Source organism: Homo sapiens, chromosome 2 (assembly GCF_000001405.40).
Source record: "Homo sapiens chromosome 2, GRCh38.p14 Primary Assembly".
NCBI lineage: Eukaryota > Metazoa > Chordata > Mammalia > Primates > Hominidae > Homo > Homo sapiens.
Genome location: NC_000002.12, coordinates 236,078,304 through 236,098,721, shown reverse-complemented (window position 1 = coordinate 236,098,721; position 20,418 = coordinate 236,078,304). Strand labels below are relative to the sequence as shown.

The 20,418-nt window shown below is 46.3% G+C and overlaps 1 protein-coding gene across 4 annotated transcripts in view, besides 2 other annotated features; it reads right to left on the bottom strand.

Annotated features, from left to right (window-relative positions):
• Window positions 1–20,418, bottom strand: part of AGAP1 (ArfGAP with GTPase domain, ankyrin repeat and PH domain 1) — a 637,751-nt gene that overhangs the window by 33,072 nt on the left and 584,261 nt on the right. The gene's annotated exons all lie outside the window — the stretch shown is intronic.
• Window positions 11,310–11,951: an enhancer, noted in NCBI's record as "OCT4-NANOG-H3K27ac-H3K4me1 hESC enhancer chr2:236995415-236996056 (GRCh37/hg19 assembly coordinates)". NCBI's record gives its function as "activates a minimal SCP1, AML or CMV promoter by ChIP-STARR-seq in naive H9 embryonic stem cells {active_cell/tissue: H9 hESC(naive)}" and the evidence as "EXISTENCE:reporter gene assay evidence [ECO:0000049][PMID:30033119]".
• Window positions 15,430–15,929: an enhancer, noted in NCBI's record as "H3K4me1 hESC enhancer chr2:236991437-236991936 (GRCh37/hg19 assembly coordinates)". NCBI's record gives its function as "activates a minimal SCP1, AML or CMV promoter by ChIP-STARR-seq in primed H9 embryonic stem cells {active_cell/tissue: H9 hESC(primed)}" and the evidence as "EXISTENCE:reporter gene assay evidence [ECO:0000049][PMID:30033119]".

Here is a 20,418-nt window from a genome sequence, read left to right as displayed (position 1 = left end):
GCCCAGCAGCGGGAAGCGGCAGTGACCTATGTTTGTGGCACTGCACTCCAGCCTGGGCAACAGAGCAAGACCCTGTTTCTCTAAAAAAAAAAAAAAAAAAAGGAAAAAAAGATTTCATCAAGTCAGCCAACATTTTAATTTAATTTATTTTTGCTATAGAGTGTTGCTGTGTCACCCAGGCTGGATTGCAGTGGTGCAATCTTGGCTCACTGGGACCTCTGCCTCCTGGGTTGAAGTGATTCTCGTGTCTCTGCCTCCCTGGTAGCTGGGATTACAGGCGTGCACCACCATGCCCGGCTGATTTTTTATTTTTAGCAAAGATGAAGTTTCATCATGTTGCTCAGGCTGGTCTTGAACTGACCTCATGTGTTCCCTGTCAGCCTCCCAAAGTGCTGGGATTACAGGTGTGAGCCCCTGCACCTGGCCCAACAATATTTTAAATGAATAAAACGTTCAGAATCTGAAAAACCGGTATGACGGTTCAGCGTGGAATTAGTGTATAGTCCAGCAATCCCACTTCTAGGTATATACCCAAAAGAATCGAAAGCAGGGACTGAAATAGACATTTGTATGTCCACGTTCACAGCAGCATTATTCACAATAGCTAAAATGTGGAAGAAACAGAAGTGTTCATTGACAAAAGTTTAGATAAGCAAAATGTGCTCTATCCACACGATGGAATAGTACTCAGCCTTCTTAAAGGCTGCATATTCTAATATTCAGGGACAGAAATTCTAATATCTGCTACGACATGATGAGCCTTGAGGACACTCTGCTAGTGAAGTAAGTCAGGCACAAAAGACACATACTATAAGATTCCACTCACATGAGGTGCCGGGAGTCGGGAGTCGTCATTTCATAGAGAAGGAGAGTAGAATGGTGGGGGCCAGGGGAAGTGGGAGTTTGTATTTAATAGGTAAAAAGTTTCAGTTTGGGGTAATGGAAAAGTTCTGGAGATGGATGGTCGTGATGGTTGCGCAGCAATGTCAATGTACTGAGCACCACTGAACAGCCCACTTAAAATTGGCTAAGATGTCCTGACCACGTGATCCACCCACCTTGGCCTCCCAAAGTGCCAGCATTACAGGCGTGAGACACTGCGCCTGGCTGAGACCAGCCTGGCCAACATGGTGAAACCCCATCTCTACTAAAATACAAAAACTTAGCTGGGTGTGGTGGCACATGCCTGTAGTTCCAGCTACTCAGTAGGCTGAGGTAGGGGAATCACTTGAACCCAGGAGGCAAAGGTTGCAGTGAGCCAAGGTCGCGCCACTGCACTCCAGCCTGGCGACAGAGCAAGACTCCATCTCAAAAAAAAAAAAAAAAAAAAAAAAAAAAAAAGATTAGGATGACAAATTTTATATTATGTATATTTCATGACAGTTAAAAAATCCAGAATCTGGTGCTCCTTTGCTCCCTCAGACAGACGCCACTGTGTGAGTCTCTCAAGTTGCAAGCCCACATTTTGAAGACCCACATTATTATAGCCAAAGAACTTAAAATTAATACATTTTTACCTATCATGGGTTTGGATCATAATCCTGAAAGACACAATTCCAAACACCATAATCCCAAATGCTGAAAAAAGTAAAGCACTTTACTATAAAAACTTATTTAAGATTTGATGGACTTTGCAGGAGGAAATAGGTTTCACTTGAATCCCAAACCATAAGGACAGATTTGGAATTGGTGCCATCAAGGCTTCTGAAAGTGAATTTCAGGATATTACCAATAAAGTTTGTTTTTTCCATTCAGCTCAATGCATTTGGTAAAAAAGTCAGATGAATGGATTGGCCACGTGATACGGCAAGGATGAAACTTCAGTTTAAAAGTGCATCATTTGGCCCGGCAGGGTGGCTCACGCCTGTAATCCCAGCACTTTGGGAGGCCGGGGTGAATCACTTGAGGTTGGGAGCTCGAGACCAGCCTGGCCAACACGGTGAAACTCCATTTCTACTAAAATAAAATACAAAAAATTAGCTGGGTGTGGTGGTGGGCACCTGTAATCCCAGCTACTCAGGAGGCCGAGGCAGAAGAATCACTTGAACCGGGGAGGCAGAGGTTGCAGTGAGATGAGATCATGCCACTGCACTCCAGCCTGGGTGACAAGAGCGAGACTCTGTCCCAAAAAAATAAAAAATAAATAAAAAATAAAACTGCATCATTTGTCTGCACTGGCATTCCATCTAACTGATGACATTCCAGAAGCTTTTTTTTTTTTGAGATGGAGGCTCACTCTGTCCCCAAGGCTGGAGTGCAGTGGTGCGATCTTGGCTCACTGCAACCTCTGCCTCTCAGGTTCAAGGGATTCTCTTGCCTCAGCTTCCCAAGTAGTTGGGATTATGGGTGCACACCACCATGCCCAGCTAATTTTTGTATTTTTAGTAGAGATGGGTGTTTCACTATGTTGGCCAGGCTGGTCTCGAACTTCTAACCTCAGGGATTCCCCCGCCTTGGCCTCCCGAAGTGCTGGGATTACAGGCGTGAGCCACTGTGCCTGGCTGACATTCCAGGAGCTTTTAATGAGAAGAGCCACATTTGTGTGAAGAAGCCAGTGAAGTTACCTACTGGATGAAAAACAGCTATGCACATGGTAGGGTAAGATACATAGTACTGCGGTTCCATCATCAGTATTGCTTCCACCAAATCTGAGGTCTGTACCTGAGCGAATGCAGAATGGATTTCCAAGTACCCAAAACAATAAAGAAGCATGGCACAGAAGCTGGGGAAATTTAATGGGAAATAACTCATGTTGGCGAACCCTGAATCACGGAAGAATTTCTAAAAGAGCAGCGTCACACAGAAAAGGAATGTGAACTTCTTCTCTATGGAGAGGCACATCCTAAAAGGAAAAAAGCAGCTATGCGCCATGATGCAAAACTCAAAAATATAATGATCGTGGAAGTTGGCCAGCTCTTAGGGACTATCTCTGTGCAACTATCCATAATCTAGCCCTGAACTAATATACTTCTTCATATGTCAAAATTTTTAAAAGTTTTTTCCCACAATTTTACATTGTCAGCATTATTCTAATTAGTTTTATGCATTTTTTGCAAACTTGACTCCATCAAAGTACATTACCACAACACTGTAAGCACTGCCTATGTCAATATCTACCAACATGAGAATTTCCTGTTAGATTTTCCCTTTTTCTTGTATTTTTTTAGAGAGTCTTTTTTTCCTATTTTTTAATCTTTTTTTATTTTATAGAGATGGCATCTCACTATGTTGCCCACGCTGGTCTCAAACTCCTGTGCTCAAGTGATCCTCCAGCCTCAGCCTCCAAAAGTGCTGGGATTACACACGTGAGCCACTGTGCCCAGCCAAGACAAGGTCTAACTCTGTCAACCAGGCTGGAATGCAGTGGCATGATCATGGCTCACTGCAGCCTTGACTTCCTGGGCTCCAGTGATCCTCCCACCTCAGCCTCCCGAGTAGCTGGGACCACAGGTGCATGCAACCACGCCTGGCTAATTTTTAACTTTTTTGTAGAGACGGGGTTTCACCACAGTTCCCAGGCTGGTCTCGAACTCCTGAGCTCAAGCAATCCACCCGCCTTGGCCTCCCGAAGTGTTGGAATTACAGGCGTCAACCACCACGCCTGCCCTGCCCCCACAACTTTTTTGAGACAGTGTCTCACTCTCACCAAGGCTAAAGTACAATGGCTTGATCAGGGCTCACTGCAGCCTGGACCTCCCGGGCTCAAGTGATCCTCCCATCTCATCCTCAAGAGTAGCTGGGACCACAGGCATGCGCCGCTGCACCAGGCTAATTTTTTTTTTTTTTTTTTTTTTTTTTGTAGAGATGGGGTCTCTTGCTGTGATGCCTAGGCTGGTCTCGAACTCCTGGACTCAAGTGATCCACCTGCCTTGGCCTCTGAAAGTTTTAGGATTACAGGCATGAGCCACTGTTGCCCAGATCAATTTTCCCATCTTCTGTGCCAGGCTTTTTCATTGTTTTGGGTATGTGGAAATTCATTCTGTATGCACTTACATACAGTCCACAAATTTCATGAAATTTCTTCAATAAATGAACATCTGCGTTTGTGAAAGATAAAATTTCTCCAGCTCTCACTGGGCGCAGTGCTCATGCCTGTAATTCCAGCGCTTTGGGAGGTCAAGATGGGAGGATCGCTTGAATCCAGGAGATCAAGACCAGCCTGAACAACACGGTGAAGCCTGGTCTCTACAAAAAATACAAAAACTAGATGGTCGTGGTAGTCTGTGCCTGTATTTGCAGCTACTCAGGAGGCTGAAGTGGGAGGATCGCTTGATCCCGGGAGGTGGAGGTTGCAGTGGGCCGTGATTGAGCCATGCACTCCAGCCTGAGCCACAGAGACCCTGTCTAAAAAAAAAAAAAAAATTCTCAGCTCTTTTGGCAACTTCATAGGCCATGGTGACCCATCGTATTTGCAATTTTTTTTTTTTTTTAAAGATATAGAGTCTCATTATGTTGCCCAGGCTGACCTGGAAATCCTGGGCTCGAGCAATCCTCCTGACGTGGCCTTCTGAGTAGCTGGGACTATGGTTGTGTGCCACACACTGGCTCCATCACAGCTTTTGATCAGTCTTGTCAAAAGACTGAAGTTGTTCGTCACTGTATTTCAGGTGTTATACAGCTGAGTGCCCATAATTAGCAACCACAGTGACATGCATTTATATATTTCTGACCTATGAATACAGTCTGCTTGTACCTGTTACAGCCATATGACTGTTGTTAGTACACCTGGGGTTTATGCTTGCAAAAATATAGGTTATCATTGCCTATTTGTGAAAAGTGCTCTAAAAAGTGTTCTGTTGTGTTTTTATATGTTTCTCAGAGAAACCCCCTTTAAAAATGTCAAAAAATACCTTTTAAGTAATTTTTCAAATGATCTTTTCCAGGATTATATTTTTGGGATTTTGATTTTTTGGGATTGTGATTTTGGGGATTTCAGACTTGAGAGATTTCAATACTTGGGATTATGGTGTTTGGGATTGTGTTTTTCATGATTATGACTGGCAGGCAGCCACTGATATGTGGTCCATATTCAGTTTTCACCAAATTATCCAAAAATACGTTCTAGGGCTGAATTTCTCTCCCAATCCAGGATATATGTTGCCTTTGGTCATCCTCTTATACCTCCTCCCATGTGAGAGTCCCTTCCAAACCCTACTCTTCTTTTTGGTCTTTCTTTACATTGGTATTTTGAGGATTTCAAGCTATTTCTATTGGAAAATGCCCCCAATTGTGTTTGTCCGATTCCATTTGGGTCAAAATATTACTACAGAGGTGCCACGTCTCCCTTGCATCACCAGCAGGAGGCACAGACTGTGAGTTGTTCCACTACCGAGTCTGTCTGAGTCTGTGGCTAAAGCAGGAGCCACCAGGTCTCTGTCCAGGTCCCTTCCCCCTTTACAATGACCAAGTGATCCCTGGGCTGACACCTTGAGGTGGAATATCTTGTTCCTCCCCTCCCAGGGGTGCAGCTTCAGTTTCCCTGGGCTGACACCTTGAGGCGGAATATTTTGTTCCTCTCCCCCAGGGGTGCAGCTTCAGTTGATGATCCTTGACTGAACCAATTAAAATATCACGTTTTTGGTTGCGGGATAGAGATTTTCCAGTTCCCTCATCCTCTCTGTTTACTGGTTGGCATTTTTTATAAAGAAGAGCTTCTCCCCCACTGCCTTTCTGGAGTATCGTCGTGGACCCATGTTTAAAAATTAAATGTGTCACATAAACTGCCACCAACACTATTCTTTTAGATGCTTCAATTGTTCCAGATTTGGCCAGTGGGAGGCCTGGAGCCGCTCCTGTTTCTGTCTGCGGCATCTGCCCTGGTCCCTGGTAGCTCTGTGCTTTCTTTCTGGCACAGCAGGATGCTCCAGGGCCATTCCCTACTTCTCAACCAGATCTGGAATGAGCCATTTCTCCAAGGAGCCCTGATTCTTTTAAGGGAAGCCACCTTTTATTTTGCTTGATTGTTTTAAACTTTTTAGTAAGCTTTTTTGAAATAATTGTGTATTCACATGGAGTTTAAAGAAATAATACGGCCGGGCGCGGTGGCTCACGCCTGTAATCCCAGCACTTTGGGAGGCCAAGGCGGGTGGATCATGAGGTCAGGAGATCGAGACCATCCTGGCTAACACGGTGAAACCCCGTCTCTAATAAAAATACAAAAATTAGCTGGGCACGGTGGCGGACACCTGTAATCCCAGCTTACTCGGGAGGCTGAGGCAGGAGAATTGCTTGAACCCGGGAGGCGGAGGTTGCAGTGAGACGAGACTGCACCACTACACTCCAGCCTGGGTGACAGAGCGAGACTCTGTCACAAACAAAACAAAACAAACAAAAAAGAAAAAGAAATAATACAGAGAGATCTCATGTACCCCTTACCTGGTTTCCCCTCAAAGGCAGTATCTTGAAAAACTGTAGTATGTTATCACCATAGGATATGGATACAACCCACCTGGCTTGTCCACATTTCCGATTTTCCTTGTGGTCATTTGTATTTATGTGTCCATGGAATTGGTTCAATGCAATTTGGTCACATGTACGTTCCTGTATCTAGCACCAGTCAAGGGTCTCTCTTGTTGCCTTTCTAAAACCTCACCCACCCTCTCCATCCCTAACCCTGGACAACCACTAACCTGTTCTCTAGCTCCGTAATTCTGTAATATCAACAGTGATACATAAATGGAATCCTACAGCACGTAATCTTTTGGGACAGGCTTTTTTTCACTCAATGTAATTCCCTGTAGATTCGCCTAAGTTGTTGTTGTGTATTAAGAATTCATTCCTTTTCACTGCCAAGTAGTTTTCCACAGTGTGGATGGTCTACAGCTTGTTTACTTTTTCACCCACTGAAGGGCATCTGGGTTGTTTCTGGTTTTGGGCTCTTACGAACAACGCCACTAAGAACATTCACATACAGGTTTTTGTGTAAACCTAAGTTTTATTATTTACTTATTTATGCAGAGCCTTGCTCTGTTGCCCAGGCTGGAGTTCAGTGGCATGATCCCAGCTTACTGTAACCTCTGCCTCCCAGGCTCAAGCCATCCTCCTGCCTCAGTCTCCTGAGTAGCTGGGACTAAGGTGCACGCCACCACACTCGGCTAATTTTTGTATTTTTTTGTAGAGACGGAATCTTGCTATGTTGCCCAGGCAGGTCTTGAACTCTCGTGGCTCAAGCTATCTGCCTGCCTCAGCCTCCCAAAGTGCTGGGATTACAGGAGTGAGCCACCGCGCCCGGCCTAGGTTTTTCTTTCTCTAGGATAAGTGCCTAATAGTGCACCTGCTGGGTCATAAGGAAGGTGCACGTTTAGTTTTATAAGAAACTGTAAAACTGTTTTCCAGAGCAGAGGCAACTAAATGTTAAAAACAGTATTTGATAAAACCAAATTCCATTATGAAAAAGGAACAGTTGAGACCCTCAGGATTTAGAGGAACTTGAAATACCCTGTGTCAGAGGGCAGGGCCCCAGGCGACCTGGACTAGCAGCGACCTCCGTCTTCACCCCTCCAAAGTTGCTGCACAGAGAGACAGGCATAGATGACTCAAATCTGTTTTTGGAAGTACACTGGACATAAAAATGCGTGCAGATATGCAAACACGCATGCACGTGTGTAGAAAACACGTGGCCAAGGACAGGGCATGCAGGCAGCGGATTGATGTGTTCAGAAATGTGCTTACCAGGAACGATTACGGCCGGTGCGGTGGCACACGCCTGTCAACCCAGCACTTCGGGAGGCCGAGGTGGGCAGATCACCTGAGGTCAGGAGGTCGACACCAGCCTGGCCAACATGGTGAAACCTCATCCCTACTAAAAATGCAAAATTAGCCGGGTATGGTGGCGCATGCCTGTAATCCCAGCTACTCAGGAGGCTGAGGCATGAGAATCGCTTGAACCTGGGAGGCGGGGGTTGCAGTGAGCCAAGATCGTGCCACTGCACTCCAGGCTGGGCAACAAGAACCAAACTCTGTCTCAAAAAAACAAAACAAAACAAAAAACAAAACAAACACAACCACCACCAACAAAAGAAAAACAAGGAAGGATTATGTTTGCAAGCTGGGCCGTATAACCAGGAAGACCCCCTCCCTGCTAGCTTTCAATATCCAAAAGTGATGAAAATAACACAAAAATCCGAACAACTGGAAACACGCTGCAGGAGGAAGGCCTCCCTCCGACCCCCGCCTCTCACTCGCTTGGCAAAGCCCGTTTGCTTTTCCATGCCTCTGTTCCCTCCCTTCACAGTCTCTTTGGGGCACATTTGGAAATTATTTAAAAAGATAAAATGCCTCTAATCTGTTACCAATTAGAAGAAACATGTGAATATTATTTTCTAATTTGTGACTCTTGAGTGTGCGTCTCAAAAACCAGAGAGAAGTAATTGAAATAATTATGTCTGCTTCTGAATATTTCTATCATGCTCTTGAAATAAGAGGGTGGCTATGTCCTCTTTGCATGGTACGCCTGAGGGTTGAATATATCAGTAGGAACATCAAAGTCCTGGGTGCGAACGACCACAAAACTGCCATTTCTACCCAGCCCATCCCCAGCCTGTGCAGCTGGAGCCCACAATGGTGACAGAGGGGTGAGGACACGGCCGGTCTCTGTGAAGGGCTCAGGCGCGCAGGGCAAGGTGAGGAGAGCAGTGGGTTTCCTGGTAAACACGTGCTCCTCCCTGCAACTCCACTCACCTCAAAACTTCTGTATCCGATGGATTCATTTGCAGCCAGGGAGCTGCTGTACAGGCATAAGGTTGATTTATAATAGGAGCAGTGTGAGTTTTTTTTTTTCCAACCTAGTTATAAGTACGACTTGAGTGACTAACTCCTGAAAATTGGTCATTTCTTGGTGGTTAACAGTAGAAAGTCCACCAATGAGAAATGAGGCATGCTAATAAATTTATAGGGCGTTACATGCCAATTAGACCTCGTCAGCCATTCAAGAGGCAGGGATGCCAGTCAGGTTATCATTCCACAAATGCACTCTTTATTGCCTGCACTCTCACAGTTCAATCCCCCATTTGGATGTCTGAAAAGCAGCATATTAATGCTGACTGTACAGGAATCAGAAATTTGCAGAGGGCCTTTCTGGTTAAACAACCTCCCTTTTCTTCTGTGCAAACTCTTCTTTGTTCTCCAGTGCCAAAGAAGGACTTCGGGGTGAGCATGAACTCTATATGGAACCAGATTCGTTCCAGACTTTGGGTCTCATCAACGGCAACAGGCGCAGGCCATCAGGCCACCTCCCAGTTGCTACGCTCACTCTCTTCTGCCAGTACCCGGCAGCCTAGTAGGCGCTTTATCTCCAGCATGCAGTTCATTTGCAAGGACCTCAGCTTGACCTGGGATGGCATCTTTGCAACTGGGAGACTGAGAGGCACAGAGACACATGTGTCCTTTACGGAAGAGCAAGGAATATGTAGCAATGCCCAGGGAAACTGTGTGTCAGTTTGCTCTTTGTGTTAAAGCAATTGACTAGACTGACTTTAACTTTTTATTTTTTCTTGGGGAAATAAAAATCACACAACTGTATGTGCTTTGAAAAGACCTCATCCATGCAGAAATGTACAAACTGGACTTGGACGCTGCCACCCACGTGAGCGGTCTGACTTGGACCCTTTCCTTTTGGATATTCTCTGCCGCAACTGTGGCATCCCACTTTTTCTACTCCTTCACGTGATGGACGGTGGTGATGTACCTTCTACCTTCTGTACTTTGAAACATATTATACAAACCAGTTCTTTCTCTTTTGGTAGAAGTGAGTTCTTTGAATTTGATTTCAGCCCCGTGTGTCTTTATGACGATCACCATCATGATCGAATGCCCTGTTAAGCAACTATTCTTTCAAGAAATACCAACTGAGCACTCGTGAGGAATGAGGTATTGCAGTGCACCGTGATAGGTTCTGGAACACAGTGAATAGAAGCAGAAGGATACATAGATTCGTGACAATGGGGACAGGGCTACAATTGTGGCATAAACTGCTGCAATTCACAGAAATCAAACAAAAGAGAATCTATGGTTTTACTATGTAGACCGCTCTGGACTTAGTTTACAAAAATTAAAGTGTAGTTAAACCCAGATAAATAATTAACACTACTTCCTGAAGCTTAAGAATACAAAATGCATCAGTAAACATGAAAGCATCTATGAATCTGCCTGGAGCCTGTGAGTCACTGAACCAACATTTAAGTTCACAGAGGCATCTTCTTCATGTAATAGCTATCACCCACTAGCTATCACCCAATAGCCCAACAGTAAGGATGACTCTGGAAATGCCAGCCAATTCACATGCCCACTGCCAAGTGTCTTACCCTCCAAGATGGTCATTACAGAGTGTGACAACCCAGGACCCAAACTCCAGATGCTTAATGGGTCTTTGCCCTTTCCAGCAGAGCTGGAGCTATCTGGCTGTTTCTTCAGTGTGCATTAAACCCTTTCAAAGCATTGTAGGAGAAAACTTGCCTTTTGCCAATTCCAAAATGAAAACAGCGCTGGCCTCTCTCAGTAAGGTGAAGGAAGGATTCCACTGTCTGAGGACACTCAGACACATGATAAGGCTGGGGACCCAGAGACGGGGATGTGCCTAGGTGTCCTGGAGCCCAGCTGGGTAAGGTTCACAATGAAAGGCACATTGGTGAAGGTCCCCACTTTTCTGGAAATAACCATCGTGGAGACTGAGGGTCTTTCTTGCTCAGGAGGGAGTCCTGCCAGATAGCCATCAACAAACTGAATAACCTGGACCCCGGGGCCAAGGATACCAAGCAGGTCTCTCGTCCTCCCTGTCCCTCCCCTGGCTGTGCCAGATGCTGATGTTCAAGGTCTTTACACATCTTTAAGCAGGTCCCAACCAGAGAGGACCTGCTGTAACGTCTCCTCCTGGCAAAGACCTCTGGTCTATTCCTCCCCATAGCCCATTCAAAAGCCTTGTGATATTAAATAATCAATCTAGTTTAATGGACGCCAACTTCTTATTTGGTGCTTCATGGACAAAGAAAATGGGTATGTCCCCGGTTGTCACTTAACCAATAAGGCCACTTACATGGCTTATGAGACTATTCACGGCACCACATGGAAACAGAGAAAAGCTTTAAAACACCAGGTGATCATGTTATCACGCTTAACCAAGGGGCCTGATTCAGAACATCAAACTAGTCAGAGGTGGGCATGAGCCGTCCAAGTAGCCCGTCATGGGCAGTGTGCACCACAGTCCTACACCGCATTTGCCATTTCAGCCGGGACTGTGGGGCGGGCACAGGCTCTCTCGGGAAGATGGTGTGGTAGAGCCATGAGAAGTGGCTAGGTCATAATATAAAAGGTAAATGATCCTGCAAGACGAGGTTGTCTGTCCTTGGAGCAGGGCTGTCGGGGACCTGGACTCTTTCAATGAACACCCACAGCTAGCCCCCGCTCCCGCCCCCACCCCGGGCTCTGGCTTCCTCTCATTCCCACCTCGACCCCTAAATAACACTGGAATGCCCTGTCCCCTGATGGGCTCCATAATGAGAAGGCCTGTCAATCACAGCTCCATTAGCCTGGACAGACTTTCACTTCCTGAAACAATTTATTGGATTCCCAGAAGCAAATGGGCCTTCTTCCTTTTCAGCTCTGTTTTTAGGGAGCTATTCAGAGGGAGTGTGTGTCCCTTCTGCTCCTGCTGCGAGGCCTTTGTTTCCTTCATTTACTCATGAAAACAGTTTCCTGAGTTTACCTACCTCCTCTGTCCTGGGTTTCCCGAGTGTTTGCCAAAACTTTTTTCCCCCACTGTTCAGTAGCCACACAAAACCCACCAGCTGCTTCCAGCTACTCAACCAGGGAGGGAGCGGGGAATTTTATTTGCAGATTTTTGGAGGGAGGGAGGTAGGGCAGGGGGGTGGGGGAGGGGAGAGGCACATACTTGAAGAAATTAAATTTATGCAAAGAAAGAAAGAAATAAGGCCGATGAATAAGTGCTGGCCAGTGCCCTCCTGTGTATCTCTGGGGTCCATGACTTCGTTCCCTTTCTATCTCATTCCTGACCAAGAATTTAAGCGGCTCTATTAAAAATGGCTAAAGACGCCCAGCTAAAATTTTATCCTAAGAATGTTGAAAATTTTTTGGAATGTATCCACAACACTTATCAGCTCTATGCTGAGTGACGGTTAGTTTTGTTTGGATGAGACTTCCAGCTATTTAAAAGAGAAACTATGTTACCTGCAATCAAATTGCTGTCCAAAGACTTTAAATGGGCAGTATTTCTTTTAGTTTCTGAATAGAAAAAGAGGAAAAAGAGGATTTAAAATTACATAAAATAATATTTTCCTTGTACTGCTCTTCTTAAAGAACAATATACACTGTGCAACTACACTTGAGCAGTAAGGTGATCTTCCTTTAGCATAAATCAGTTTAACTTTTAACCTGGGAAAACAGACTGAAGAAGACAGAGAGTTATGTCTCGCCTTCTGAGAATTTCAAGTCAATAGTAAATTGGGGGGCACGTTAGTACCACTGAGATCCAATCAGGATAAAATTACGCAGTCATGTAAGAAATAATATCTATTAGGCTAATTTAATCACCGAATACTTTACAGATGAATTAGAATTTAGAATCCAATTATTTCTTACATTCGGACTGTCAGAGCTGGTATCTCTAAGCAGGAGGAGGGGGGAAAAGGGCAGTAGGAAAAGGAAGATTAGGGCAAAAAGGAAGATCAGGGCAGCTTTAAAAATGCAGTCAATGGAACAGATCCTGTCCCGCTCCCAGGCTGTGATAACAGCAGAGAAATGACGAGTGTGGTCAGCGTTGCTGCCATCAGCCCAGCCTGGCAGCCAGATGAACCCACGGCCTGGACGCTGGAATTTGCTATCACTGATGGACAGCCATTGTCCCCTCCAGGAGTCCTGCTCCTTGTGTGGGGCTTGCCTTCACAAAGGAAGCCGGCTGGGCCACATCCTGAGGCGGCCCATGGAGCCAGGCAGCTCCTTGGCCTGGAAAACCACATGATGCCCCTGGGGGCCACCACATGGTCCCTGGTCATGCCCTGGGCAATGGGACTCAGCCTAACCCTCTTCCAGCCCCCAGTCCTCTTTAGGCCTGCATTTCTTTTTATGAACGGTAAAGGCTGTCTGGAGATGGGGAGGAGAGAAATGAGAAAAAAGAAGGAGCCCTGAGCATGCTGGGCCTCTGGGATCCATGGGCTGGTCCTACCAGCTGGAACAGTGTTTGTTGCTCTTTGTGTGGGGAAACTGGGGACAAATGGAAACTCAGGCTGGGAAGTGAGGTTGGTACTAGAGATGCATTAGAGATTTGATCATCTGAGCAAGAACAAAACTAGCCTTAGAGAGTGCTCCCCTCCCAAACAGATCCTCCAGGCGGCTGGGGAGAGCTGCAGCAACAAAGGACGCTTCTGATTTGCACCCTAGTGCTCCAGAAAGAATCTAACACTGCCCCCCTACCACCCCTTCTCTATTTGTCCTGGCCAGTTCAGGCAGTCACAGAATTGGGTAAATAAAAATTTTTTTTTTTTTTTTTTTTTTTTTGAGACGGAGTCTCGTTCTGTCGCCCAGGCTGGAGTGCAGTGGCACAATCTTGGCTCACTGCGACCTCCGCCTCCCGGGTTCACGTGATTCTCCTGCCTCAGCCTCCTGAGTAGCTGGGATTACAGGCGCACACCACCACACCCGGCTAATTTTTTGTGTATTTTTAGTAGAGACAGGGTTTCACTATGTTGGCCAGGCTGGTCTTGAACTCCTGAGCTTGTGATCCATCCACCTTGGCCTCCCAAAGTGCTGGGATTACAGGCGTGAGCCACCGTGCCCGGCCTAAAAAATCTTATTTTATTTTATTTTTTTGAGATGGAGTCTCGCTCTTTTGCCCAGATTACAGTGCAATGGCATGATCTTGGCTCAACGCAACCTCTGCCTCCCGGGTTCAAGTGATTCTCCCACCTCAGCCTCCCGAATAGCTGGGACTACAGGCGCCCACCACCATGCCTGGCTAATTTTTTGTATTATTAGCAGAGACGTGGTTTCACCATGTTGGCCAGGCTGGTTTTGAACTCCTGACCTCAAATGATCTGCCTGCTTCAGCCTCCCAAAGTCCTGGGATTACAGGCATGAGCTACCGTGCCCGGCAAAAATTCTTAAAATTGATATTTGAGTTGTGAATAGAATGACAGATTTGTTTCAAGGTTTCAATGATTTATATCCAAACAGAGGTTTTCCTGAAAGAAAATGTCTGAAAATTAATTTTTTGTTTGCATCCTGCATTTTCTTTAAGAACTAGAAATACACAGAAGCCCCTTGCATTATGGCTATTTAAAAATGCTCAACAATCTCCCACACTTCCAAAAGTAGAGTACGAATGTCAGGGAAAAACCACTACTTATCATTCGTTCCAGAATGATCCTTACAGCATGAAATGAATGAATGTACTGTGCATTTAAATGTTAATATGCTGGCAGGTCACGGGGCTGGCCGTCAAGACTGAATACACTTGTTTAAGTTTAAGGTGGCCGCAGAGACCCCCCCCCGCCCTTCAGGAAGGCACAACTAAAGCGAACCATCATTACAGCTGTTCCCCACCGGGGCCTCCCAGCCCCACTCCAAGACAGGAGGGAACTTTGGTGTTTACAGGCTGTAGGGGTTTTATGACAGGGGTGCTTCCTGCCTTCCTGCCCGGCTGAACAGAGAGCGCCAATCCTCCAGACTTTGTGAGTCTTCCTCCTGCACCTTTTCTTCCACCTGCCACACAATGAGTCCTTATTATTCCTTTAATTACTGAGCTGGATCCCTCTGTTCCTTCTCATCTAGAACCTTGGTGTGTGCATATGTGTGCCTGTGTGTGTATGTGTGCACGTGTGTGTGCATACACACGCACATGCCCATTTATCTCGGATTCATTTAATTGAGGGCAGAGCATCGAATGGGATCTCAGAAGAGGCACTCCTTGCTCTGCGATGGTTTATTGTGGCTCCTAAAACACCTGTTCATCCATTTATCCTTCTGTAAAAAAACAGACTTAATGTGCAGTATTTTTAAGGTATTAAAAAAAAATCTTCCTATATATTAAGTAAAACAAAAAAGCCCACATTATTATAAGACAATAAACTATTTAAGAATGATCATAAGAAAGCCTCCCAAATTTGGGGTACTTCTCTTTCTAATGTAGGCATGGGTGTGAGCATGCACACATTTATACGGAATTCCAGTGACAATGTCTTAGTTAAGCTGGTAACTGCTGGAAAATAAACAGGCTCTTCAAAATAATAGAAGAATCAGTTGCAGCATTTAGGCACCAACTTTGATGGGCTTATACCAAAAATGTCTCTTCCTTATAATAAAATGAAAACAATCCTTTAATCTTTCCTTTAGAGAAAATATCAGCCTCCAAAGCCACAATGTCAACGTAAAGAGCCCGTGAGGAGGACGACGCTTCCTTGCAACAAACCGAGCTCATCACATGACATCTGCATTATTAGGCACACACTGACCTGAAAAACCTGAGACCGAAGCCTCGGCGACTGACAACAGCCCTTTCTTTGGCAAGTTCATGAGCCAGTCTAAATGGAAGGCGAGGCCTCTTTTCTTTTTCTTTTTTTTTGAGATGGAATTTCGCTCGTTGCCTAGGCTGGAGTGCAATGGCGTGATCTCGGCTCACTGCAACCTATGCCTCCCAGGTTCAAGTGATTCTCCTGCCTCAGCCTCCTAAGTAGCTGGGATTACAGGCGTGCACCACCACGCCTGCCTAATTTTGTATTTTTAGTAGAGACAGGGTTTCTCCATGTTGGTCAGGCTGGTCTTGAATTCCTGACCTCAGGTGATCCGGCCACCTCGGCCTCCCAGAGTGCTGGGATTACAGGCGTGAGCCATTGTGCCCGGCTGATGGAGTTTTGCTCTTGTCCTCCAGGCTGGAGTGCAATGGGTGCAATCTCGGCTCACTGCAACCTCCACCTCCAGGTTTCAAGCAATTCTCCTGCCTCAGCCTCCCAAGTAGCTGGGATCATAGGTGCCTGCCACCGCGCCAGGCTAATTTTTGTATTTTTAGTAGAGACAGGGTTTCGCCATGTTGGCCAGGCTGGTCTCAAACTCCTGGCCTCAGGTGATCCACCCGTCTTGGCCTCCCAAAGTGTTGGGATTACAGGCGTGAGCCGTTGCACCTGGCCCTCTTTTCTTTAACTAGGTGAATTTTGTAAACCAATCACCACTGCAGGTGAGCTGTTTGCCCCTGATAGGCCTTTTGGGAACCATCTTCCTTTCTGGAGGGGATCGATGCTTAGGAAAAGCTCTCCCTCCCTGAGAGATCAAATGGGCAGCGGCCCCGTAGCAGGACCTGGTGGGTGAGCTCCCACCACATGCCTAATTAATGACCCTGCTGGTCGCAGCTGGAAGAGCTGAGCTGGGGGTGATTAATTAAATTAGCTGGCAGAGGAAATTACAGTGGAAAAGCCAAGGTTTGATTGCTCCATAATTAACCGCAGTGCAAATAATATCTGCATCTATAACTTCCAGCGATGAGATCAGAAGCCAATTGAATTTGGCACTGATTGAAGCTGTAAATATCCCGTGGTGAAAAATGATAGGTTTGTTCTAGAGGGAAAACTTACAGAAATGGACATCTAGCAAATGTGATCGGGGGAAAGAAAAGGGCACCAGAGGAAACGGCAGGAAGGAAGCCTTACCTTTCATGCTGCCTTTTTCCAACATTAAAACAACTCTTTTTTCACATTCCTTTTGGATTAGTGACTAGGCGTGCTATATTTCCTGTCTCTAAATTTCAGGTTTGACTTCCCATGCATGGAACCTATGTTAGGGTTCCATCCCCCTTTCTCGTTCCAGGGATTAAAACCCAATTCTAAAATAATTTCATAGGCTAATAGGAGGGGACCGCTTTCATCCCCCTGAGAAGAAAAATGTTCTATTTAGACCATCAAATGCATGAGCTATTGCAGCTTTTCTGGATAATGACATTTTTTCTTCTTTGTAACAATTTTCATGTTCAAAATATGGTTTCATTAGCAATAGGATTCTACTTAAAAGAAAAAAAGTATTTTATACAGATAATTGCCCTGCAAAAAAAAAAAAAAAACCCACAGAACTTTCAGCAGACTGGAAACATTACTTTTTCAACCATCCACATATTTTCACTGTAAGTTGTTTTAAGGAAGGAGTCATGTGTCTCTACTGGAAAAGCTTTGAAAAGTAATGACTTGGTGGCTTTGGACCACGAGGCGTGACTTCTGTCTGCAAGTGGTCAGAAAGGATTTACCCCTATCTTGATACACAGACTCTCAGTCGGGTGGAGGACACACTGCAGCTACTAACATGTGACACACAAAGTGTCCGTCCAAATGCAGCGCGGTTCAGACACGCACCCCGGCCATTTTCTCCACTGAGCTTCCATACAACCTGGGGGGTCAGTATGGCAAGTGTAGTTACTCTCTTTTTATTTTTAAAGAAGAAAGTTGAGGTTCTAGGTGGTCAGTGTTGTGGCAGGACAGGACCCCGGCCTCCTGCCCACTGTCCTTACTCTAGCCAGGACCCTCCCTTCCCGATTCGATGTGGTTTTCCTTCCAACAGACAACTCTGTCTGCACCCTACGCTGAGATGTACCCACAGGCACCACCTGTCTGGATGGAAAGAAATAGGCAGGGCTGTGACTGTCATGGGGGTTTGATGACATGGGCCACAGTATCTACAGAGGTCAGAATAATGTGGTAGAAGGGAAATGGCTCCCAAAGATGTCAACGTCCTAATCCCCAGGACCTGTGACTATGTGACCTTACATGGCAACCTAACTGCAGATACGGTTAAGACAAGGCCCTTGAGAGGGGAGAGTATCTTGGATTATCCAGGTGGGCCCAATATACAAGGGTCCTTATAAGAGGGTCATATAAATAGGAGAATCAGAGTCAGAAGATGTGAGGACAGAAACAGGTCAGAGGGGATGCAAGGCCACCAAGATGAGTAGCAGCTTCTAGAAGCTGGAACAGACAGGGGCATGGACTCTCTCACAGCCTCTAGAAGGAATGAAACCATGCAGACCCAGCTTGGACTTCTGACCTCCAGAACTGTAATGGAATACTTCCGTGTTACTTTAAACCACTAAGTGGGTGGTAATTTGTTACAGCAGCAATGGGAATCTTATACCTACCCTATTAGGAAGAGAAGGATTGAGAGGCTAAAAGCTGGATGGATGAAACGTGTACAAGATACAGCAGGTGGCTGCCCTTGGTGGCATCCATTGAGCTTGATGTCTAGTGTGATCTGTCCCTCTTGGCCATAGAGTCTCCGTAACAACTCTTCCCTTGGCCTGGGAATTCCACAGGCCTCTAAACTTGTCTGGTTGCAAACTGACGTCCTTATTTCCTCCTAGCTGTCCCTCCTAGACTGAGATGGAGGTTTCTGGACTCACAGAATCTAGACCAGAGACTTGGTGGAGGAGGCAGTCTGATCTTTGCCGGGTAACAATTCTTCTCTCTCCTTTCCCTGTGTCTTTCCAGCAGAGGCTCTGCCTGCCTTTTTTCCCAACTATCTTTCCAAGAACATGCACAGGAAACAGCCTTGGATGATGGAGATAGCATCTCCCTCCAGAGCACAGGGCAAATGTGCTTTGTGCCCACTGTAGAAGATTTGGTTCCTAAGCTTAGGGTTCCTCTCCTGCAATGCAGCCCTTGATGTGTGCGGATGCCATGGGGCCCTGACTACATCACAGCTATGGGCACTGGGACCTGGGAAATGACCCAAATGCTAATACTCTGGCTACTGCTATTGCTGTGAATAACGGATTTTTCTTTGTCTCTGACCCTGAAGTCTCATATCTTAGACCAGCTCCGTGAAACTGGAAGGCCAACTTGCCAGGTAAGTAAAATCTCAAACTCAACACAAGTTCTCATTCCCTGGTAACCAGTGCCTTGAGTGTTAGTCTTCAGCAACAGTGGAATACATGTTAGCATATTGGGGGGTCCTCTTTTATACCTTTGCATGGGGGTTCCCTCCGTCTGTACCACCCCCTTCCCTGTCCCACCAACTGCCTGTCAGGGCCACTCAGTCTCAGGTTTTTTTCTCTGAGGCTTGCCTTGACCCTGCAACCCACTTCCTCCTGTCTGCCTACCCCTGCTGCAGATTTTGCATGGATCACTATATATATATGTATGTATGTATATGTATATGTGTGTGTGTATGTATGTGTGTGTGTGTGTGTATATATATATAATTTTTTTTTTTTGAGACGAGGTCTCTGTCACCCAGGCTGGAATGCAGTGGCACGATCACAGCTCACTGCAGCCTTAAATTCCTGGGCTCAAGCGATCCTCCCAACTCAGCCTTCTGAGTAGCTGGGACCACAGGCACATGCCACCATGCCTGTTTTTTTTTTTTTTTTTTTAAATTTTCTTTTTTTGTAGAGACAGAGTCTCACTATGCTGCCTAGGCTGGTCTCGAACTCCTGGCCTCAAGAAACTCTCCCGCTTGGCCTCCCAAAGTGCTGGGATTACAGGTGTAAGCCACCGTGCCTGGCCAGCATGGGTCACAGTATCAAGCAATTTTTGGTGTCTCTCTCTCCTTCATGCTGTGAGTTTCCTGAGGGCAGGTGTGGTGCTAGTACAGTGCCTGGCACATAGCAGGCAGAGGGGACTCTGTGGAACTCTCTGTCTAGATGCCAGGCCTGGTGTGGCATCGGAGCCCTAACCCACCAGGCAGGGGTGTAGATCAGGCTGTTTCAACCACCTCCTACACCCCAGCCCCGGCATCAGGTATCTTCCCCCATGAGGGATGAGGCTAAAGGGACGGGACTGGAACCTCACTGTTCAAGCCCACTGGGTCACTGTGTGAGGCTGGACCTTCTGCTGGAATGAAGAACAGAGCTGGAAGTGAGAAAGGAAAGGCAGTGGGTGTGGCCACCCACTTAACCACGTGGGATGGGGCCGCTGCAGGGGTAGGAGGGTGGGCAACCAACCTGGCAGAACGACCAGTCTGGCTCAAGCTTAGGAATCCTACAGGGAGAAGGGGCCAGAGGGTGGACTTGGGTCCCATGGTCCCATCTAGCACCCAGCCACAGGAGCCAGGTAGGGGACAGACGTGTGTGAAACCCATCTGGAGTCAAGAAATGCTAGCACGCTGCTCAGCAGGTGGTTCAGTGGTAATACTTATCTAGGGAGATTACGTTTTCAAAGGCAAAAGTGCCCAATAAAATGCACCCCACCCCTCTGGGAGAAGCAGCGTGCGGCTTTTGCTGGGAAGGAATTCTCCAGGCAATTAAAGTCATAGCAGGATGACTCATGATCAGTTTCACATGTCAACCTGGCCAGGCCACGGCGGCCAGTGATTTCATCACACACAACCTATGCATTGCTGTGAAGGCCTTTTGTAGATGTCACTTATAGTCCATGGACTCCAAACAAAGGCAATTATCCTTGAGAAAGCAGGTGGGCCTCATCCCATCAGGTGAGAGCC